Here is a 19163-nt window from a genome sequence, read left to right as displayed (position 1 = left end):
CTGAGTATTTGCATAAGTCTCCCTAAAGGAGTTTTTATTTTGACAAAGTTTCTTTTAAAAACTTAAATCCTGGTCCCTTTGATCCAGACTAACTTCAAATAGAGAGGCAAGGAATTTCAAACAACCCAAAGATTTTAATGATTTCCTTCAGATCACCTAGCATTAGAGAAAACCTATGTAAGCTTGGGTTAAAAAAAAAAAAAAAACAACCAAAAAAACACATATAACAGTATGAGTTATATAAGCAGATCCTACCCATTTTTTTTTTTATTTAGAATGTATTTGAAAAAGATGAGCTATTCCCACACTTAAGTACAAATTTGGAATTAAAACAAGTTACCCCCACTTGGATTTAGAGTGTATCAAACAAGGAGTTTGAATCTCAAATTTTATAAAAGCTATTGCAAAGATAAATACTATTTAGAGGTTCCTATTTTATTCACTCCTTTTTTTTTTCTTTTTTTTGTAGAGATGTAGTCTTGCTATGTTACTGAGGCTTATCTCAAACTCCTAGTCTCAAGAGATCCTCCCATCTTGGCCTCCCAAAGTACTGGTATTACAAGCGTGGGACACCATGCCCAGCCTTATCTACTCCTTTACTGAATGTTTAGTGCTAGTACCTTGCAACTTTTTTTAAAGACAAAAAGTTAAGGAGTAATAGCAGAGAGTAAAAAGAAAAAGGAAGCCCATCACAGATAATATCTTATTGCTAAGCAAATAGAAGAATGATTATAAGAGAAATATAATTCAAGTAATTTAGATATTTTATGATTCAACTTCTTTTGCAAATAAACTCTAACTTGGAAGTTCATATTCTAGATCATTTGAGTCTAAGAGTAATGTCTCTATATTGATACATGCAAGCTAGCATTTTGATATATAAAAGTGAATGGTCTCATCTATAAAAATAAAACTTAATTTATTTGCTTAATTTGTTAATATCCTATAAAATAATTTGGTCTTAATATTATATTTCACTTCTAACTATTGTATAGGTAAATCTTTAAAGAGAATACAAGCAACTACCAAGTACCAAGAAGGTGGGGTACAGGCCATACTTCTCACATCAAAACAAACCTTTCTAATTTACTAAGTTCCAGTCACTATTTTTTTTACTATATTCCAAAACTTTAAAGTCTAATTAGAAGTTTTTTCAAGAACAAAGTTCTTGTTTTTGTTTTCATTTTAGCATTTCTGCTATAAATATCTAGTCATGCAGGTTGAGAGTACAAATTGTCTCATATCCCAAGATCACATCACTGCATATGGCAACTATGTTTCATTCTTGCACCCATTACATCACAGGTCAATACTCAGACATGAAAGCACATCCCTATCACTCTGCCATTTTTCTAACTCACATTCTTTAGTGAAACCTCAAATAACCAAATAAGTTCAACAAAAGTTTACTCAAACTTAAGAATATACTATGATTGGCTTTATTATTCTGCTGGCTAATAAGGCCTGACAATAAAATAAAGTTAAAAAGAAACACTTTGATTAATCCATGAGTCAACTCACTATAACCTTTAAGAAACCCCTTTAAGAAAACGATTTCAACAAATGAGGAAACCAAGGCAAACAGAAATAGAGGAGGAGAGAATGAGGAAAGGAAGTAACAGAAGTAAAAAGAAGTAAAAAGAAAGGAAGTAACAGACTGTAAAGGAAATGTGGGAAAAGGAAAACAGCCATAAGCAGTAACAAGGTGATAAATGTATGACATACACATCAAATAGTGGGAAGAACATAAGCAAAGCAGAAGCTAAGGCAATCTGAGGGAAAAGTAGGAAACTGAGGGGAGAGGACAAAATACAACACTGGAAACAGGTAAGTCAGAAGAAAAAGTAGGTGCTTTATGCTGCAAAGTAATCTAGCTTCTAAAACAATTTATTGAGAGAAAAATACATAAACGGTCCAAATTGCTACTCTATGCAAACCTACAGATTAATTGCAGAGATATGAAGATATGATTAAGCCCTCTTGCAAACAGTGGCTCTTCTTTAAGTTCCAACTTATTTTTTTTTCTTATAACCTCAAAAGATTCATTATAATTCTGGACATACAGCAACTTGGTTAAAGCACATTAGTAAGAGCTTATGAAAAATAAGGTACTTCTGGGAATTCCAGAGACAAGACTCAGATTCCTCCGGCCCATGGTCAAAGATCACATGAGTGCTGGCTGCTGCAACCACATATTCAATTCCTTGCTATTCTTTAAGCTGGCATCCACCATCTCACTCCCTCATTATAATCTCTTCCTAGTCCACTTGTAGTTCATAAGCAACATGATTTGGTTTTCATGCTGATGTGTGAGATGTGCCTCCCTCAAACCTTGTTACTATGTTGGCACATTACAAGTTTGACATGAAAACAAATGGGCCAGGGACAGTGGCTCATGCCAATAATTCTAGTGCTCTGGGAGGCTGAGGCGGGAGGATCACTTGAGGCCATGAGTTGGAAATCAGCCTTGGCAACATAGCAAGACCCTGTCTCTACAAAAAAATACACACACAAACAAAAAATTAGCTGGATGTAGTGGCATGCACTTATAGGCTCAGCTATTTGGGAGGCTGAGGCAGAAGGATTGTTTGAGCAATCCCAGGAAATTCCTGGGAGTTTGAGGCTGCAGTGAGCTATGACTGCACCACTGCAATCCAGCCTGGACAAAAGAGCAAAACTCTGATTCAAAAAGAAAAAAAAATTAAAAGCCAAAAAAAAATTTCTTCCATCTGTAAAAGAGGAAAAAGAAGGGTACTAGAAGGTGCCCTTCCTTTAAGAGTTCCTTAACCCTTGCTCTACAGTTTTATACTTGAAGCAAAGTAAATACCAACTTCTCCCAGTCTCTTTGGTGCAAAGATACCCTTTGTTCTCTAGACAATACAAATTGGAAGCAGGCTCTGGTTTACAGAAGATTCTCTCTGATGCTATGATATCACCTACTTTATACTAATATCTAATTGGCCTTCATTCAGTCTAAGGATCAACCAAGGAACAAAGCAAAAACAGGTTTTAACCAAAGCTGATATAATACAAAGAGGTAGAGCCTTTCAAATTACCTAAGCTAATCATCAGAAAAAGAAAACACAACTTGAGAATATGGCATTCTACAAAGAAAAAGAGAAAGCCCTGAAGACAATTACTGTGAATTTCTTAAAGATACATATGTTGCTCATTTAGAGAAGACAAATTGCTAGGGCTTGCCTGGAAAAAAGTCAGCTAAAAAGGATACCATCTCATTTATCTCAATACAGATACCCCAGTGCCTACTAGAAGGATTCCAAAAGGTTCAAAATAACCTCCCCAGTCACTCTCTTACATAAACCCTGGCCAAACTACCCTCAAAATGAGTCACTACCTAAATGCAATTTGCTCACATTGCTCTTTTTCACTGCACAGCCTCCAATGAGATTGACAAAGCTGAATCCTACATATTTCTTCAAGGTACACCTAAATTTCCTTTTCTCTGTTTAGACTGCTTTGACTCAGAAGTCATTCTCTCTTCTGGTTACCTAACAACAAGGTCCTATTGGACATATTGGACATTTGCAGTATCTTAAGAGCTTATTTTTGTAGTTAAATTAAATTAATGCTATAATTGAACAAATCATGTTCACACATTTCAAATACAAGAAATGACTACTTACATCTCTAATATTTCAATCAATTTCACTATTATTTTCTAAGCCCACCACACCTTCCCTCTGGGACATTTTTTCCTACTGAGTGCACCATTTAGTATTTCTTTTAGAAAGGTTATGTGAATGGTAAATACTCTTATACTCTTATTCCACATATGTTAAAATGTCTTAATTTTGCCCTCATCCCTTTTCGTTTGTTTGTTTTTTGGAGACAGGGTCTTACTCCGACCCCCAGGCTGGAGTGCCATAGTGCAATCATGGCTTACTGTAGCCTCGACTTCTCCAGCTCGGGTGATTCTTCCACCTCAGCCTCTTGAGTAGCTGGGACTACAGGTACACACCACCATATCTGCTATTTTCTGTATTTTTTTATAGAGACAGGGTTTTGCCATGTTGCTCAGCTGGTCTTGAACTCCTGCGCTCAAGCAATCCTCCCACTTTGGTCTCCCAATGTGCTGGAATTACAGGTGTGAGCCACCGCGCCAGCCTCATCCTTGAATAATAGTTTAGAAGGACAACATTAGGGATATTACAGAACCAGCAGGCAACTTTTTCAGTTTCTGGTCACTAAACTGTGTTTTTATCCTACTTTTGCCCCTTAGTTCACAGCTTACAATAAGACCACAGCCCCAGGCAGAGCTGGCAGCTAACGTTTTAGTGTCTATTAACAATGATGGAAATCAGGCAGGGGGAAGGATTCTCCTGGCTTCCATCCCTTCCTTCAGGCATGAGCTCCACCGTCTCCTGAGAAGTGGCTGAGGAGTAGTTGAGCAACTTCCTGCTTCTGGCCAGGAGCTTGGCAGGCTCAGAGTTCCAGGCCTACTTATCACTTTCTATTTCTGGTCGCCTCCTGGTCCTTAGAGATGTTTGTCTTGATTTTGAGACTAGGTATATTGTTTTAGTTTTATCTTTTATATCCTTTTGTTGCCATGTGGGATATGGTGTTGAAACGAGAACTTCATGGAGCTATGTGACTGGAACTCTCCTGTGTTCCTCCTTGACACTGGAGTGCTCAGCATGGTGCCAACTACAGAAGAGTTGATAAATGCTGATAAATTTTTACATGATAAGTTCAAGTAAATGTGCATATATGCAAACATGTCAATGGGATCCTGAATAACAAGAGAAATAACACATTCATAAACAATCCTAGTGGCATATAGGTTTTACTTGCTTTGATTTATAACAACCATATTGTCCATTTTATCCAAATGAATGTAATAAATCCTGGGTTATTCATAATGAGCTTTAAACAGTTACAATTTTAAGGCAACCAGGGAGCTGATAGGTATAAATCATAAACACAGTGTTGACACATGTCCTTCTGACTTCCTCTGTTCTCTACATACATTATTGAATTATAGAATTCAATACATTTATAGATATAAATGTATATCTATATATACAATATAATTTAATACAATTCAAGATATAATTCGATACAATTACAGAATTCTAAAAGATGTTTATCTTGAATCAAAAACTGAAATGAACATGAATCAACTTGAATGGTTTTGACCCATGCAGCCCACATCATCCTCAGAAGTAACCCATCCCAAGTCTTTTTTGTAGAAAGTGTATATTCTAAGGAAGAATAAGGTGTATCCCAAACCGTACCAGGATACAATAAATTTGCAAAGTGTAGTACATCAACATCACAAACAGAAAAATAATAATCTCCAGGAATTCTTTTTTTTTTTTAATGAAAGAGTCAAAGACTAAAAATTAATCAGGGTATCTTCTGTAGTGATCAGAAAAAAATGGTCTTTGCTTCTGGAAAAGGCTTCTGCTTATTTTACACTGAAATATTTATGTTATGAAGAAAGTAAATTCATTAGGTTACTGATTTCAATTAAAATAATGTTTAAGAACATCCAGGCCAAGCACAGTGGCTCGTGCCTGTAATCCCAGCACTTTGGGAGGCCGTGGTGGGCAGATCACGAGGTCAGGAATTCAAGACCAGCCTGGCCAGCATGGCGAAATCCCATCTCTACTAAAAATACAAAAATTAGCTGGGCATGGTGGTGGGCGCCTGTAATCCCAGATACTGGGGAGGCTGAGGCAGGAGAATCGGGAGGCAGAGGTTGCAGTGAGCCGAGATCGCACCACTGCACTCCAGCCTGGGCGACAGAGCAAGACTCCATCTCAAAAAAAATCATCCAACTGCCTTTGATTTAATTATCTGTTCCTCACACAACCCTTTTTAAAAATTTTTTTTACATTAAGGGTCTCACTCTGTCACCCAGGCTAGAGTGCAGTGGCATGATCATAGCTCATTGCAACTTCAAACTCCTGTGTTCAAGTGATCCTTCGGCACACAACCTCTTTGATTGATAACTTTATCTTCTAAGATCATCAACATACCAAATGAAAGTGTACTGTTCTGATTTGAGCCAGTTTTTTACCTACTATACATAATAAATTGACATTGTACTTTCCAGTTACTTTTGGGTAACTGGTAAAAATGAGTTGTTCCACCCGTGAAGCTGAAAGCCTAACGGTTCTCCACCAAAGCGCAAACATCTCTATTTTTTAAAAAAACTCTGTACATCCAATGATTAATCATCCCTGCACAGCCATACTAAATAATCAAATCTTTATTTTATTTTATTTATTTATTTTGAGATGGAGTCTTGCTCTGTTGCCCAAGCTGGAGTGCAATGGCACAATTTCAGCTCACTGCAACCTCCGCCTCCAGGGTTCAAGCAATTCTCCTGCCTCAGCCTCCTGGGTAGCTGGGATATAGGCTTGTGCCACCATGCCTGGCTGATTTTTATATTTTTAGTAGAGACGGGGTTTCACCATGTTGGTCAGGCTGGTCTCAAACTCCTGACCTCGTGATCCGCCGACCTTGGCCTCCCAAAGTGCTGGGATTACAGGCATGAGCCACTGCACCCGGCCATAATCAAATCTTTAAATCATTCAATTTACAGTTGGAAATAATCTTAGTAATTATCTCTTCTATAATCTCTAATCTCACTGCTTTTATTTGGTACCTGACTTTCCTCCTCCAGCCCAGTGGTTCTCAAATGTTAGCCTAAGGATATCAGAATCCCCTGGAGGGCCCACTAAAACACAGGTTGCTGAGTCTCCCTCCTCCCCACTCCTCACCGGGAAATTCCCATTTAGTAGTTCTGGGTTGGCCCTAGAATTTGCATTTCTAACCAGCTCCCAGATGATGCTAAAGCTGCTAAGTGTGGGACCACACTTTGAGAATCTCTGCTCTAGTTTCTTCCCCGTTTTACTCCTGTAGAGTTAATAAAACTAATTTTACTTAGACTAGACATTCACGACCTAGGGCTCTCATACTAAAGCGAACTGAGTTTAACAATGGAAGCCCTTCTGATTATTAGAGTCCTCATTTCTCCTGAGCTCACCTCTTGACCAACCTAGGAAACCCATTCACAATTCTTGCCTCTACAACAATCCTGCCTCAGTTCTCCCTCTGCTAGAAGGCTCTCCTTTTCTGCAAATCGATGGCCACTATTTTATTAATCCTTATTTATTTACTCATTCATTCATTCAATAAATATTTATGAAGTACTTGCTATGTGTTAGTCACCATGCTAAGTGGTGTGAAAAAAGACCAAGGTCAAAATCTTCCATGATTAACCTTAAATCAACTCCGAACACCTCATTACTTTGTTACTCAAAGGGGTACTGATCCAGACCCTAAGAGAGGGTTCTTGGGTCTGAGCAAGAAAGAATTAGAGGCGAATCCACAAAGCAAAATGAAAGCAAGTTTATTAAGAAACCAAGTTTATTAAGGAATCAAAGAATGGCTACTCTCATAGGCAGAGGAGCCCAGAGGGCTGCTGGTTGCCCATTTTTATGGTTATTTCTTGATGATAAGTGAAACAAGGGGTGGATTATTCATGCCTCCTCTTTTTAGACCATATAGGGTAACTTCCTGATGTTGCCATGGCATTTGTAAACTGTCATGGCGCTGGTGGGAGTGTAGCAGTGAGGACGACCAGAGGTCACTCTCATCGCCATCTTGGTTTTGGCGAGTTTTCGCCGGCTTCTTTACTGCAACTGTTTTATCAGCAAGGTCTTTATGACCAGTATCTTGTGCGGACCTCCTGTCTTATCCTGTGACTAAGAATGCCTCAACCTCCTGGGAATGCAGCCCAGCAGATGGCAGCGTTTTTTTTACCCAGCCCCTATTTAAGATGGAGTTGCTCTGGTTCAAACGCCTCTGGTAACTTTGTATCCACCTTAGAAGTTAAATTGTTCAAACAAGAAAAAGTTCCCCCAAAGCACATCGAACTCTTTTTTCCAGGAGTGGAAATAAATACGCCATGAATCTGTTTATTTTCTTTCCTGGTCTTCTTATAACTTAGTATCCATTTTAGAGAGCTCTAAAAAGAGCTAAGGGTCTAATAAAGATGCCACTATTTATATGTTGAATACATTTGCAGTATCTTCCTCTCAAGTGGCAGGTTTTTAAAAAAAAGTAACTGCTGGTAATTAAAAGTTGATGCTCGGTAGAAGGAAACTAAAATACTTGAGGGCAGGAAATAAGCCTTCCTTCTTGATATTTCTAGAGTTTACCTAGCAGGTGCTCAAAAGTTAGACGAATAGATGAAACCACCCACTGCTTATTAAACTTTTTAGATAACATATTTTTACAGATTGCACTATAGCAATACATAGTTAATGGTAACATTTTATGCACTCTTGAGTAAATCCTCAAAGACCTATGAGAATATTTTTAAATTTGCTTTTACTCATGCTTAATTTTAAATAATATTTATTCATATTCTAGAACAAGTTTGAATGAAGTCATACAAGTTATCCAAGACTTATAACCCCATGGAATAAATAAAATTTATTAATGATAAAGGAAGCTTTCAGATAGACCCAATTAAGTCAATTTTATAATTTTATTAAAGCTTGACAGAAGAGTCCATGTAAGTGCAATAAAGTTTAATGGAAACTCAGTCTGGTACTAAAAGAGTAGGCATTATATGCAATGAAAGTATAAATTATAAATAAGAAATAGTCTTATAAGAAGTTTGAATTTCCTCGAAATTAGCCAACATATACTTACAATCAAATTTATACGTTCTGTTAAGAAGACAACTACAGTGATGCTATATATTGTTTGTGCAGTCTGCATTTGAAAAATGCAGTTATTCTTTAATTAGCCATTTCTAAGCCAAAGTTAATGGTTGTTTGAAAATGAGGCTCATTACATGATTCTGCAAATGTGCTCTGTAATAACTAACATTACCACACAGCTGTATAAACATATTTACCATGACATATTCTTTTACCACAGGTGTATGTTTTCCATTCCGAGCATTACTAATATGCATCTGAGACTAGTCTGATTTAGAACTAACATTTAAGGGAAGAAATATTTCTTAAATTATTTAACTATTTATAAAATAATATTTTAACTGGAGAACACTTAATACCTCATAATCCATCTTATTTTTAGAGTTTTTATGCTCCAACTTGTTCTTAAATCAGTTTATAATAGTTACTTCTTTCTTATTTTAGATCTATTAATAATAGAATCCTCACCTAAAAAGTCAATAAAACCAGTCCTGAAATAAATGATCCGATTTGTATTTACCAGCATGCATATTTGCAGCATGAGTAGTTTTTATGTCTTTCTGGTAACAAATACAGTTTTTGAAAGTAAAAATATTCCAAAAATATAATCAAATGACTGGAAATTATTAGTTAAAATATGAGGCCAGGGGCAGTGGCTCACGCCTATAATCCCAGCACTTTGTGAGACCGAGGTGGGCAGATCATGAGGTCAGGAGTTCAAGACCAGCCTGGCCAATATGGTGAAACCCCGTCTCTACTAAAAACACAAAAATTGGCCAGGCATAGTGGTGTGTGCCTGTAGTCCCAGTTACTCAGGAGACTGAGGTAGAAGAATTGCTTGAACCTGCCAGGCAGAGGATGCAGTGAGCCGAGACCGCGCTACTATGCTCCAGCCCAGGTGACACAGCAAGACTTCATCTCAAAAAAAAAAATAAAATAAAAAAATAAAAAAAAAGAGTCTCTGAATAAACTAAAGATAAATTACTGCTTCTAAATTTATATAACATATCATATTAAAAGAGAAGCTATCAGAAATAAACTTTAGTCTCTTTTTAACATCATGAATACTAATTAAGGTACTAAATGATACTGAAAACATCTATAAATATGTTTCTATATAAATAATATCTTTGGTATAGCTCAGAACAAAAGGCTTAGTAATGACTTATGATGTAATAGCGAAGACTGAATGACTACTTAAGCACAGAGGTTTAGGAAGCTCACACAAATATATTTTCTACTAATAAGTAATTCAGACAATCTTGGAGATTACGTTTTAATTTTGGAAATGTAAAATACATTAAAAACCTCACATTGGCAGGTACTGGTTTTAAAAGATGTCTAAACCTTTACATAATGGACATGAGAATATTTTTCAGCTTTTGTCCAATAACTTACTAGCTTCATCCTTCCCAATTAGGGAAATGAATAAGAAGACTATTTTTCTTTTCCATAAAAGGAATTTGAATGGCAGGAGTACACAACCCATATGCTAGGTTTTATTTGATCTAAGTAAGGCTGCCACGCAAACACTGAAGCAGATGAAAATAAAAATAAAATGTATTTAAGCACAAATTTGATGTTTATGCACTCTATTGCCTCCTTCTGAGGAAACACCCAAAGATAAGCCTTCTAATGCACAGAAGTAGTTCTCTTCCCTAACCTCTGAGTAAACACCTCAGAACCTGGGAATGGCTTAGGTATCTGATACATATAGAATTTAGACTAGTAATCTTTGGTGTACTTGGAAGGCAATGTCAAATATCTATGATACCATCTAATTTTACATAGTGTAGATTAAGGTCACACTACATCTAAAGTTCTTAAACAGTGATCACAAAGCCAGCTTAAAAAACATGAGCTCTTTAAAGACAGTCTGCAGAACTTTGTTTTCCCTCTCATCACAAAGGGAAAGAAAAAATAAGCAATTGGTTGCATTAAAACAGATATCCCAAGTTATCCAATATCCTAGTAAATATATTTACATATATAAATTTAGTATTTACTTTTTATAATATGTATTTAGACATACCAAAATACCCATTTCTTTTTTTTTTAATTATACTTTAAGTTTTAGGGTACATGTGCACAATGTGCAGGTTAGTTACATATGTATACATATGCCACGTTGGTGTACTGCACCCATTAACTCGTCATTTAGCATTAGGTATATCTCCTAATGCTATCCCTCCCCCCTCCCCCCACCCCACAACAGTCCCCGGAGTGTGATGTTCCCCTTCCTGTGTCCATGTGTTCTCGTTGTTCAATTCCCACCTATGAGTGAGAACATGTGGTGTTTGGTTTTTTGTCCTTGCGATAGTTTGCTGAGAATGATTTCCAGTTTCATCCATGTCCCTATAAAGGACATGAACTCATCATTTTTTATCGCTGCATAGTATTCCATGGTGTATATGTGCCACATTTTCTTAATCCAGTCTATCATTGTTGGACATTTGGGTTGGTTCCAAGTCTTTGCTATTGTGAATAGTGCCGCAACAAACATACGTGTGCGTGTGTCTTTATAGCAGCATGATTTATAGTCCTTTGGGTATATACCCAGTAATGGGATGGCTGGGTCAAATGGTATTTCTAGTTCTAGATCCCTGAGGAATCGCCACACTGACTTCCACAATGGTTGAACTAGTTTACAGTCCCACCAACAGTGTAAAAGTGTTCCTATTTCTCCACATCCTCTCCAGCACCTGTTGTTTCCTGACTTTTTAATGATCGCCATTCTAACTGGTGTGAGATGGTATCTTATCGTGGTTTTGATTTACATTTCTCTCATGGCCAGTGATGATGAGCATTTTTTCATGTGTTTTTTGGCTGCATAAATGTCTTCTTTTGAGAAGTGTCTGTTCATATCCTTTGCCCACTTTTTTATGGGGTTGTTTTTTTCTTGTAAATTTGTTTGAGTTCATTGTAGATTCTGGATATTAGCCCTTTGTCAGATGAGTAGGTTGCGAAAATTTTCTCCCATTTTGTAGGTTGCCTGTTCACTCTGATGGTAGTTTCTTTTGCTGTGCAGAAGCTGTTTAGTTTAATTAGATCCCATTTGTCAATGTTGGCTTTTGTTGCCATTGCTTTTGGTGTTTTAGACATGAAGTCCTTGCCCATGCCTATGTCCTGAATGGTATTACCTAGGTTTTCTTCTAGGGTTCAGAATCTCTGCGACACATTCAAAGCAGTGTGTAGAGGGAAATTTACAGCACTAAATGCCCACAAGAGAAAGCAGGAAAGATCCAAAATTGACACCCTAACATCACAATTAAAAGAACTAGAAAAGCAAGAGCAAACACATTCAAAAGCTAGCAGAAGGCAAGAAGTAACTAAAATCAGAGCAGAACTGAAGGAAATAGAGACACAAAAAACCCTTCAAAAAATTAATGAATCCAGGAGCTGGTTTTTTGAAAAGATCAACAAAATTGATAGACCGCTAGCAAGACTAATAAAGAAGAAAAGAGAGAAGAATCAAATAGACACAATAAAAAATGATAAAGGGGATATCACCACCGATCCCACAGAAATACAAACTACCATCAGAGAATACTACAAACACCTCTATGCAAAATACCCATTTCTTTGCTCCTTTTGATTCTTATATCTCACACTTTCCATCTGGGTTCAATTTCCTTTTAGTGAAGTATATGCTTTTGTAGCATTTCTGACAAAAATCTATAAGTATTGGACAGTGGCTCACACCCATAATCCCAGCACTTTGGGAGGCCAAGGCAGGTGGATCACTGGAAGTCAGGAGTTCCAGACCAGCCTGGCCAATTGGTGAAACCCCGTCTCTACTGAAAATACAAAAATTAGCCAGGTATTGTGGTGGATGCCTGCAATCCCAGCTACTCAGAAGGCTGAGGCAGGAGAACCGCTTGAATCCGAGAGGTAGAGGTTGCACTGAGCAGAGATCGCGCCACTGCACTCCAGCCCAGGTGACAGAGTGAGTGAGACTCCATCTCAAAAACAAAAAACAAACAAAAAAACAAACAAACAAACAAACAAAAATCTATAAGTATTACATCCTCAGCTTCTGCAGGTCCCCAAATATCTTTGTTTTTCACTCTTACTCTTATTTCCCTCAGTACTTTAAAGATATTATTCCATTGCCTTTGTCATCTATTAGAAGTCCATTTTCAATATTCATTTTCATTCTTGGTAGAAAACCTATTTTTTGTCTCTAGTCACTGTTAATACTTTCTCTTTTTCTTTCAGATATCTATTTCATACCTTTTCCTGGCTCCTCAAATCTCTCACAAATCCTTCGTCCTCAAGTTTGGTTCATGACCTACTTCACTAAGAATACAGTAAGAATATACAAGCAATCAGAAGAGAACTTCCACAACTTATCACCATCAGAGCTATTCACCCACCAGCATCTGTTCGTAGCTTAGTTTTCTGCAATCCCACCGTTTCTAGAGATAATCTTTCCTTACTTCTAAAAATAATCCCTCCATTTGTGTACTATATTCCACTTCCTCTCATCTACTCAAGAAGACCATCAAATACTTCTCATCTTTCTCATTTTCCCTCTCTGTTGGATCATTCCCAACAGCATACAAATATGCTTTTATTTTTCTCATTTTAAAAATAACACAAAACAAGTAAAATACCTTTCTCAGTCCTACAGCTCCTTAGAAATAGTGCATAGATTTCCCTACAAAGTACCTAACTTTAGCTCCCACTCATCACTCTGTTCATATATTAGTAAAAATAATAGCTAACTTTATGGAGATCATACTGCAATCAACTGAAAACATCATTGACTTCACTACCTTCATCTTGATCTCTTATCTCTAATTTGTCAGATAAGTTATTATCCTGCCTTAAAAGTATGTTCTGGGTATTCTGGTTGTTGTTATTTTAATTTAAAGCATAAGTACAGTTAAGTTTCAGTCTTTCAGATTATCCAAGTATATAGTTTACAAATTTGTTGAGGATCATTACTTTTCCATATCATAATTAATTCATTACTTAATAGGATCTCCAACAGAAAAAAGAAAACAGAAGCACTGAAAATCCACAAATTAAGTATGCAATAATGTCAAAACTACTCATCAACTGGATTTTCTTTTTTATGTATCTCATCTACTGACATAGACAATCCAAATTAACTGTATCATGTGAATGGGTATGTATGACATAAATGGTTTCACATATATCATTTTAATCCTCATTCTTAGCAAAAGAGGCAAGTACTAAGATTATCCTCATTTTATCAATGAGGAAACTAAGGCTTAAAAACGTTGTCCCTAGTCATACAATGAGAAAGTGATAGAATTGACATTCAAACCTAGACAGTCTGAATCTAGAGCCTAAATTCATAACTGCTGTACTATATTCAATCTCAATTCTACTGATTAATGTTAATAAGGAAATATATATGAAGATTTTAAGAACTAAACTACCTGTATTTTACTTGTTTTAATCTTACCAGCTTACATAATTACACAGCATATCTTAAACCTTTTATTAAACTTTACAGTAAAATTATTTGAACTCTTGAAGTCAGAAGCATTTTGGGGTTGCTAAAAACAAAACCATGATTTTTTAGAAATTTTTCATTAAGGCAACAGACAGCTTTACATAGTACTTAACATTAAACTTCCTCTTGCTGGCCAGGCATGGTGGCTCATACCTGTAATCCCAACACTCTGGGAGGTCGAGGCAGGTAGATGGCTTGAGCCCAGGAGTTCAAGGCCAGCCCGGGCAAGAGTGAGACCCTGTCAAACAAAAAAAAAGAAAAATTTGCTCTTGCTGAGGTGGGTGTGGTAGCTCACGACTGTAATCCCAAGTATTCAGGGGGCTGAGGCAGGAGGATCCCTTGAGCCCAGGAATTTGAAGCTGCAGCGAACTATGATCATGCCACTGCACTACAGCCTAGACAACAGCACAAGATATCATCTCTTAAAAAAAAAATTTCCTCTTGCTCTAGGTTAAACAATCTCATTCCTGTAAGCCAGACAATATCAAACAAGACCCTCACCCTTGGCAGTGAGGACATAATTAAAATGGAGATTTTATTTTGACTAACTGATGCACATAAAAGTTAGCATTTAATGTGCAAAATAACTCTCAACCATTTATTTAATTACTCTTAACCATTTCACCAACTTGAAAATCACCCATGATAATTCATCAACTAAGAAGACATGTTCTAATTCTTTCTCAGGCAGATACTGAAAACAAATAACTTTTTAAAATGTTTTAAACATCCTATGTTAGAATCGGAGACTATTTTCTTGCTCCCCCCACAACTCCTCCCCCAAATTCAAACAGGCTGAAATTTGGGGGAGGTAGCACAATGACATGGAAAGACTGTATTAAACATAATTTCTGTGAGCCTTGGTTTTCTCATGGCCTTGCTGTAGGAATCAAAAAGGTAAAGGACTATATTCATATAAAATATTCTTACATAAGAATATTATATATTCCTATATTTATATAAAGTGTTATTTCAAATAGAAGCTGCTTAAAAGGTATTCATAATTTATTTTGTAAAAAGATATTTAGTTCTTTTCTCCAGAAACATTAAAGATTAAATGTCACAAGGTTAAAATAACTTCATGTTAGATGTGTGCACAAGTAAACCAGATTAGGGCCCAAGTATATCAACTAGATAAGTTAATTTAAACTAGTCAAGAAGTTTAGCTTAGATATACAGGAGATATACGGCAATGAAAGTAACATAATATAACCAAACCCTGAAAGCAGCCTCATACATTATCTATTAAACACTGAAAACAGTATCTTCCCACCAAGTGCAGTAAACTGTCGTGTGGGTCATGTGGGTGACACATTTGAAAATGTTTTAAACCATTAGGCATCTTTTAATTCAAAAAATTTCTGTTATTATTAAATTCCCCAAGCCTCAGCATAACACAGTTACCCAAGTAACAAACCTGAATGTGTACACTTTAATCTATAATAAAAGTTGAAATTAAAAAAAAAAAAACAGTGGTACATGGCACATGTGTAAAATGGTTTAAGGGATAAGTGTATTAATATATTCCTGAATGAATGAACAAATGAAGGAACACTTCAAAAAATTTTTGGCAGGAAGAGTTTCAAGAGTTACAAATTAAGAATTTTCCATTTGTTTTTCAACCAATCACCTTTACTCTTTAAGAACACTCTATGCCACATAAAAACAAAGTTGATACTTCAGTAACTGTGTTCCCTCCCCAACAATCGGCTCTATGATCTCAGTGTTTAAAAAAAAATTCTATTTACCACTTCTGAAAAAGACATTTTGATACTGGCTTCAACTTTTATAATACATCTGCTAGTGCAGGCTTTTTCCACCCCAAACAATGTTTATATCCCTGCAGTTAGATTTCTTCCACATACTATAAGCTATAATCCACATAATAAAAGCTAAAATCCCTGACCAAAACTTTACAGATAAGTGGATTTAATAAGAAAGTGTATGTTTTTCCTCAACGAACATGACTAGTGAATATCAGATGTCACCAGTTCATCTGCAGGACATCAAGATACAAAGCAGGGGAAAAAATTACAGTAAAAATGTACTACTTACTGCGAAGACATAAGACTTAAATATTCCTATGATTCAGATTCGATGGGGAATATACTTTTGAAAATAAATCTGAAATGGACATGTACATGTTTTTACATTACATGTATGTTTAACTAAAACACCAAGTACTTTAGCCTCTGTACATACAGAAAAGTAAATATAATAAAACTGGTATGTATTTTTAAAATAAAAACATTCAAATGAAAGTGAAAGTGATAGATGTTAAGAAATGTTTCCTTGAGGGAGTAAGGCTTACCTCATTATTTCTAGATTTAACCACAACTATTAGGTGCAAAATAAAATGATTAATGACAGGTTCATTGAATTGCCTCCCAGAAGGCTTAATAAAGTATCCTAGAAATACAGTACAACTCCTCATAAATTTAGCCGACAAAGGCTTTTAAAAAGTATACAAAACTATATGCTAACAATATTTTTCATTATTTTTAAAAGTTTCATGTTTTTATTTTTAAACAACTTTGAGGTATAATTTATATACAATAAAATGTACAAATTTTAAACACACAGTGCAATGAGTTTTGACAACGAATAGATGCATCCATGAAACCACAACCTCAATGAAGTTACAGAATATTTCCATCACCACCAAAAGTTCTCTTGTAACCCTCTGTAGTTAATCACCCCACTATATCCCATCACAGGCAAACTGTGATCATTTCTATCATCATAGTTTTGCCTGTTCTAGAACTTCCTAAATGGAACTATATAATATATACTCTTTTGTGCCAAGTCTTTTATTCAACAGATATCTATAAGATTCATCCGTGCTGTCTTTTTATTGCTGAGGAGTATGCCACTGAATGACTATATCAAAATTTGTTTGTCCACTTCCCTATTCATGGATACTTAGATTGTTTTCAGTTTGGGGCTATTACGAATAAGATTCACATGGACACTCATAAGTTAGTCTTTTTGTGGGCACATGTTTTCATGTATGTATGGAATTACTGGGTCATAAGGTACATGCATGTTTACTAAGAAACTCCAAAACTTTCCAAGTGGTTTTGCCATTTCACACTTGTTTTTCATTCTCTCTGATACTTGAAATCCTTGGTCTTTTTCATTTTAGCCATTCTGGCAGTTATAAATGGTATCTCATTGTGGGTTTTAAATAATTTCCCTGATGACTAATGATGATGCTCATCTTTCCATGTGCTTATTGGCCATCTGTATATCTTCTTTGTGTGTCTTTTCAAATCTTTGCTCACCTCTTAAAAGTTGTTTGCCATGTAAGAGTTCTTTTAACATTCTAGATACAAGCCCTTTGTCACACATTGTATTACAAATATTTTCTCCTACTTTGTACCTTGCTTTTTCTTTTTACCTTTTTTTTTTTTTCTCTGAGATAGAGTCTCACTCTGTCACCCAGGCTGAAGTGCAATGGTGCGATCTCAGCTCACTGCAACCTCCACCTCCTGGGTTCAAGCAATTCTCCTGCCTCAGCCTCCGGAGTAGCTGGGATTACAGGCGCCCACCAGCACACCCAGCTAATTTTTGTATTTTTAGTACAGACGGGGCTTCAACATCTTGCTCATGCTGGTCTCAAACTCCTGACCTCAGGTGATCTACCTGCTTTGGCCTCCCAAAGTGCTGGGATTACAGGCATGAGCCACCGCGCCCAGCCTCTTTTTTTTTGAGACAGGATTGTGCTCTGTCACCCAGGCTGGAGTGCAGTGGCAGGATCATGGCTCACTGCAGCCTTGACTTCCCAGGCTCAAGAAATCCTCCCATTTCGGCCTACCGGTAGCTGGGACCACAGGCATGCATCACCATGCTCAGCTAATTTTTTTCATTTGTAGAGACGGTGTCTCCCTATGTTGCCCAGGTTGGTCTCGAATTCCTGGATGTAAAGCTATCCTCCCACCTGGACCTCCCAAACTGCTGGGATTACAGGCATGAGCCACTGCACCTTGTAGCCTCGCTTTTTCATTTTTTAAATGGTATCTTTTGAAGAGCAGAAATTTGTAATTACGATAAAGTCCAATTTATCAACACTTTAAAAAATCTTATGAATAGGCTTTTTAAAAAATCTTGAGAAATCTTTGTGCCTTTCCTAAGGTCACAAAGATTCTCTATGTTTTCTTCTAAAAGTTTCATAGCCTTAGGTTTACAGCATTTAGGTCTATAATCTACTTTTAGAAAATTTTTATATTTGCTGTGGGATAGAGATCAAGTTTTCCCTCTCCACCTGCAAGAGATCCAGTTAACCCATCATATGTGGAAAAGACTGATCCTTCTCCATTGAATTACCTTGGCACCTTTGCTGAAAAATCAGCCGGCCATGTATGTGTGAGTCTTTCAGGACTCTTTATTCTGTTCCATTGATCTGTTTATCAATCATGTTATTTTAAAGAGATAAAATGTACATTAATTATTCTGTTTGTTATAAACAGTCAGAACTGGGCAACTACTGATGTATTCCCAGCATTCCCTCACAAAGGAAAAGAAAATCACAGATTGCGAAAAATGATGAGATAAATGGCAGAAGTTTGTATTTCATCATTTTTTTAAAAAATCAGTTATTCTTAAAACAATAAATATAAGCCAAATTAACAGTAAAATGTGTTGAATTTATTTTCTAAGTTGACTGGTATTCGGTTAACTACTTGGAAAGAGTACAGTGGCAAAAAAGCACCAAGGTCTACAAAAGGTTCCTAATGAGCCTTTCAGAATTTCCCTGATAACTTCAGCTGAGCATTCAACTGGACAGTATCTCCTTAGGCTCATCCCTGGTCAGCTGTTCCAAACCATAACAACCTACCTCTGGTATCTCAGCCCTGCCCTTTGCCCATCACAATTAAGAAATGTGAGTGTACTCCTTTGGAAAGAAAACTGAGACTATTCTCTAGATTTTCAAATGCATCTGTATTTCTACCCATCCTGAAATCCTTCCCCCA

General features: G+C 36.4%; 1 protein-coding gene and 1 non-coding gene across 11 annotated transcripts in view; one reads left to right on the top strand and one right to left on the bottom strand.

The window, feature by feature from the left end:
- DISP1 (dispatched RND transporter family member 1) overlaps positions 1-19163 on the bottom strand; it is a 190957-nt gene that overhangs the window by 91787 nt on the left and 80007 nt on the right. For 2 of the 10 annotated variants that reach the window (NM_032890.5, NM_001350630.2), the window contains exon 2: positions 14344-14428. The exons of the other annotated variants lie outside the window; for them this stretch is intronic. The gene's annotated coding sequence lies outside the window, so the exon portion shown is untranslated. The remainder of the gene's footprint in view (positions 1-14343; positions 14429-19163) is intronic. 10 annotated transcript variants of the gene reach the window in all.
- Positions 2262-2365, top strand: LOC124904830 (small nucleolar RNA U13). Its single transcript, XR_007067426.1, has one exon. It is a non-coding gene; the product is annotated as a small nucleolar RNA U13 (small nucleolar RNA).

This window comes from Homo sapiens, chromosome 1 (genome assembly GCF_000001405.40).
Source record: "Homo sapiens chromosome 1, GRCh38.p14 Primary Assembly".
NCBI lineage: Eukaryota > Metazoa > Chordata > Mammalia > Primates > Hominidae > Homo > Homo sapiens.
Note: the sequence above shows the minus strand (reverse complement) of the source record. Positions and strands in the feature narration are given on the sequence as shown.